Here is a 5,477-nt window from a genome sequence, read left to right as displayed (position 1 = left end):
TAGGGTTTCTATTTTCCCATTCTGTGAGAGTGTAGAATCTTAACTTCCGTAAGTGACAGTTATCAAACACAGATGGCGTAATTACATTAATCACTCCTCCTTTAACTCACCCCAGTGGTTAAAAATCTCCCCCTTCTTCCCTTTCTTTTCATCAGAGTTGAGTTCAGTCTCTCTCTTTTATTGCAATACTCATGAATAAAGTGTTTCTTACCTGTTTAACTGGATCTGGTGCAATTTTTCTTTTACAGCACCCAGTCAACATTTGTTGAATTGAATTTGAAGAACTTCAGACTTCAACTTTTTATTCTCATGTATAGCATCAGTTTAGAAAAAAAATCAGTCTTCATGAAGAGTACCAGTGCTGGAGAAGACATTACAAAACAAAGCAAAGTAGCTGGGGGTGGTGGCACATGCCTTTAGTCCTAGCTACTTGGGAGGTTGAGGCAGGGGGATTGCTTGAGCCCAGGAGTTTGAGGCTGCAGTGAGTGATGACGGCACCACTGTACTCCTGCCTGGGTGACAGAGCAATACCCTGTCTCTAAAACAAAAACAACAAAAAGCGAAGCAAAGCAAAGTGATCTAATAGATGGCTCAAGGTGTCCACACCAGGAAGACAATCAAATATAGTTTGAAACATTGGATAATATTTTAAATAAAAATTTAAATAGCTCAATTATCTTATTTAGAATAATTTAATTAAACTATGTACAAATGCCTAGCAAATCACAAGTGCTCAGGAATGATTATTAAATAGCAAAGAGTAAAATCTTTCCTGAGTGGTGCTGATTTCTCATATTATCTTGATGAAACAATTCCCATGGACTAGGATTTTGGGGCTGGTTTTTATCCTCCACTGTATTGATCAAGAAACAGAGAACCAAAGTGAGGGCTGTGACTGTTTGGTAGAAGGGTGGTATCTAGAAACCAGATTGCTTATGTCTAGTCTTGTGTTCTTTTTACCCTCTTCTAGAAATTTAAGGTTAACTTTGGTGTTGTATTTTAACTGGAAGGAGAAATATAGCTGGCAAGCCTGACACAAAAGGCAATTAACAGAATTGTGTAGGTAGAGAAATACAACTTGAAGAAAGAAAAGCTTCTTGGCTTATCCATTGTTCTTTTTGGTAAATTGCAGCCACATAGAATTTTACAGTTGACATAGCTCTTTCACTTGCATCATTTGATCTGATCCCCCAAACAAGCTCGATGAGGCAAGAAACAGCTTGATTAAATAATTTGCCAAAGGTCACCTGGCTAGTAAGTGGCAGATTGAAAACTAGAATAATATTTTTAGTTCATCCAGTTAAAAAAATCTGTGTGCTTATTATGGGTAGATGTTATGTTAGATCTTGGAGACAGAGTGTGGACAAAAACAGGGAACAGACAGCAAACAAATTATGTTTACATACAAGAAAAGTATAGATTGCAATGAGAATTTATAAGGGGGCCATAACCTTGCCTGGGAGTGGAGTTAGGATCAGGAAAGTCTGGTCCAAAGATGTGACATTTGTGCACTTAGACCATGTTCCTAGTTTAAGAGTTTAACATAATTGGGCTCTATACTCTGGTTAAAACACCTTGTTTTGGCCGGGTGCGGTGGCTCACGCCTGTAGTCCTAGCACTTTGGGAGGCCGAGGCGGGTGGATCACCTGAGGTCAGGAGTTCGAGACCAGCCTGACCAACATGGCAAAACCCCATCTGTACTAAAAATACAAAAATTAGCCGGGTGTGGTGGCAAGCGCCTGTAGTCCCAGCTACTGGGGAGGCCGAGGCAGGAGAATTGCTTGAACCCAGTAGGTGGCAGTTGCAGTGAGCCGAGACTGCGCCACTGCACTCCAGCCTGGGTAACAGAGCAAGACTCTGTCTCAAAACAAACAAAACAAAACAAAACAAAACAAAACCTTGTCCTAGCAATATATGGAGAAATAAGAAATAAAATGAGAGGGTGGGGTGTTTTTCATCAAGGTCTATGTTACTTTATGGCATTGTCTTTCCTTTTTCATGGTTTCAAAACACACTTTCTTTTACACAATGATTATTATGGTAAATAAAAATGTTCTCTTAAAAAAATCAGTGAATTACTTAGGGCTGTAATAGAATTTAAATCTTACATCAGTCTCTCCAGTTTCCTTTAAGATATTTTTAATCAGTGAAATCCTGAAGTCTGGGAACCAGTGATCTCTATCCTGGTGTAACCCCCATTCTAATTCTTTCATTTTATTTTATGAGTGGAGGAAAGACCTTTTTACTGGCCCAATAAGTCAAAGAAAGGAGATGGTACCTTTGCACTTATGTGGGAGAGAGAGAGAGGATTAAAAATAATAATGAGACAAACTCAGATGCATAATGTCATTTCAGAAAATGAGAATAAACAGAGAACTTAAACACGTTATTTTGTATACTGGCTAGGAAGTTTCCTAGCAAACCATCAAGTCAACCTTTATAGATGAGGGTGAGAGACAGGGCAGGAGAGCCAAGTTGAAATTGAAGGCTGCTCTGACAAAGAGAAGGCAAAGGCTGGCTGGGGTGAGAAGAGAGAGAGGTTTCTTGATCCCTGTTGCTCTTTCTGTAGAGAATTTCTTTCTCTGCCTCTCCTCCTGGCCTTGCTTGCATCTATCAACAGATTCTGTTTATGCCTTAACTTTGTTGAAGGCAGCCAGGCTGGCAGAATGCTTTCCCTCATTGGAATGTGTCACCATGCAGAGGATAAAAGCAATCGATGGCCCTTCCTGGCCCCCACCCCTCCTCCTGCCCTTATAAATACTTTTATTTGCATTCTGTCACTGTGGTTGTGGCTTATCCCTTTGCATTCACCCTTTCTAGTTGAAAGTCATTAATCTGCAAATGCAACTAATTAGCCCTTCACTGTTACAGGAGCAGAGAACCTTGCTTGCTCATCGTCCTAGTTTATTGGATGCCAGAAAATGTACACTTAAGGATCAATGGATCTTGCCGATAGAAAGAGTGCACTGTATAATTACACAATTGTCCCTGGTAAGTTATAAAATGAGAATTGCACAGAGGGCCTAAAACCTGCCTCAGAATAGTGCAGTTACTTAAACCACAGGCCTACATTTCTTATTTTCTCAAGTGAGTCATGCCCATTTTGTGAGGTGAGCCATCTTAATCCATCTTCTTGAAGAGTGAAGCACAGAATATTAGGTGAATTTGGTGCATTTCAGCCCTGACATTTTTCTTTTTGGAGAAAGGTTGAACTCAGGACCTCAGGGTTGGTGTAAGATTGGAAAGGCCAAATCGCTTTATCTTATTGTTTCAATGGGGACAAAAATCTCTTGATCCCAAATAAAATAAGAACTAAAATGCTTATGCCTTGCTTTTTTTCCTTTTTTTTTTTTAAAGGAAAAAAAAGAAAAGAAAAGAAAACCAAACAAAACACAACTGACTACATGCTTCCAGAGGAAATTCCTGATTCCCTTAAAGGAAAATCATTTTTCTACAGAGGCAAATGTGTTAAAGCAAGTGAGAATCAGGGCACCACTGGGAAGCTGAATTAGCTAAGCAGTTTAACCTAATAACAACATCCTCCCTAGCCACGAACACAGTATCCAGTTGTGCTGTGGGTGTATGTATGTCTTTGTGTGTGACTGCTAGTGTGTACATGAACGCAGAACGGTCTTTCGCCAAAGGGAAATGGAAAGTTGAAAAGTACCAGCAAGAAAGATGTGGAAAGTATTACATCCACAGGACCAGAAAGTCCAGGGCGAGAAAAATATGTCTGGCAATATTTGGAGAAGTGGCTTATTCCTGGTAAGCTTAGGGAAGGGAGCTAGGTAATTTGGGTAATTGAATCCTGCAGAGAAGGAAGTAGGTTTTAAAGAGGATTGTTGCCATCACCAGCAAAAAGTGCCTATGATTTCATGTCATCAGTAGAAACTCTGCACAGGTTTATGTAATGGATCTGCAGCTCTGTCTACCAGCTATTGTAAGCTGGGTACTTTTTGGTCCTGTGCTGAGAGATGGGATTTAAGATGTTGATGCAGCACCAGGAGCTTCCTATCTTTATCTTTGCCTGGTGGTTAAGTAGTTCTTTGCACAAATGGGAATGGGCGTTGAAATAAACAAGTGGAACTGTTTTTTTCTCTTCCTCAGAATAGTAACTATATTTTAAGAATAGCTAAAAAAGTTGGCTTTCCTTGAATAATATCCCTTTGAATAATTTTTTTTACCATTCTTTTTTTTTGCTCATCCTCACCTCTACTTTAAAATTCAGAGTTATAAAACAATGATAATAGACTTAAATTTATTTAGATCCCACTGACACCTAATTAGTATTATGTAACCTTACTAATTTTCAGAGAGGTATTGTCACAACAGGATGATAAAGAATAAGCCCCCTTTGTTCTTGAATGTATAGTCTAATGCAGTGGCTCTTAACATGTTTTTGGGCCACAAACCCCTTTATGAATTGTTGTCACAATAAACCTTTCTCTCCCCAGAAAATTGTACCTGCCAATGTGCTGATGCATCTTCCTTTGGGTTTTAGGGAATTCATCCTCCATATTAGCAATTGCTTTCTGGAGTCCATGTTTAAAACCTGTGATGAAAGGCAATACCTATGAAACAGTAGAGAAATTAAAGCATATAGTAGAATCTATGAGCACATTTTGTTGCAGAATAATAGTAGACTGCTGGTTTATGGTAATGACTAAGATTCAGTCTTTGGAGTTCCACAAACCTGAGTCTAAACATGACTCTTCTACTTATTGGGTGTATGAGAAATTAATCTTTTCTAGCCCCAATTTTTCTCTTTGTAAAAAAAGGGTAGTAATGTTCACCTGGTTGGGTTGCTGTCACTACGCACAGAGCTTGGGACAGTCAGCCCTAACAGATATTGGTGATTGTAATTGTTATTAATAATGGGGAGGGTATTTTAGAGTTGATTAAGGCAGAACATCCTTTCTTCCTTTGCTTGTCAACCATCAATGCCAGCCTCAGGGAAACAGATGGTGTTGGACATTCCTGAATGCTCAGCCCCTTCCTTTAAACATTCTTTTCTAGTTAGTTACCAAGACTCATCTTACTTGAGGAGAAAATTTATTTTTAAACTTTGAAAAGCAAAGAGGTCCATGTTTTTTAACAACAATTCATTTTGTGTTGGTTTGATGTGACTGTGGAACTCAAAGAAGGGAATGCTTTGTTGTGTCGTGGGCATTGTTTATCTAGAACATTCCTCAACAATCGCTTCTTGGCCTTTTGGCTAAGATCAAGTGTGAATATTCCTCAACAATGACCTGATGCTTACCTCTTCCACTGTCTTTTTACACACTTTGGTTTTTCATCATGAGCTCTCTGATTTTTCTTCTCTTGGCCTTTCTCTTTTCTTAACAGTGGCAATTCTCTGTTCGGTTTTAGTCAATTTTGCTCAAAAAACGATAATTGAGATCTGTCTCCCGGTCACTGAGCTGGATACTAGGGACAGGAAAATGAGTAAAATATAGTCCTTACACTTGGAAGTTCTT

At 39.0% G+C, this 5,477-nt stretch overlaps 1 long non-coding RNA gene across 1 annotated transcript; it reads right to left on the bottom strand.

The window, feature by feature from the left end:
- Nucleotides 1-231: 231 nt before the first annotated feature.
- LOC105369289 (uncharacterized) lies at nucleotides 232-5,106 on the bottom strand. The gene is made up of 3 exons (XR_929529.2): nucleotides 4,794-5,106; nucleotides 4,465-4,571; nucleotides 232-361 (listed from the first exon to the last, which is right to left on the bottom strand). It is a non-coding gene; the product is annotated as an uncharacterized LOC105369289 (long non-coding RNA).
- Nucleotides 5,107-5,477: the final 371 nt, after the last annotated feature.

Source organism: Homo sapiens, chromosome 9, assembly GCF_000001405.40.
Source record: "Homo sapiens chromosome 9, GRCh38.p14 Primary Assembly".
NCBI classification, from domain to species: Eukaryota; Metazoa; Chordata; class Mammalia; order Primates; family Hominidae; genus Homo; species Homo sapiens.
This window is presented reverse-complemented; position numbering and strand designations above follow the sequence as displayed.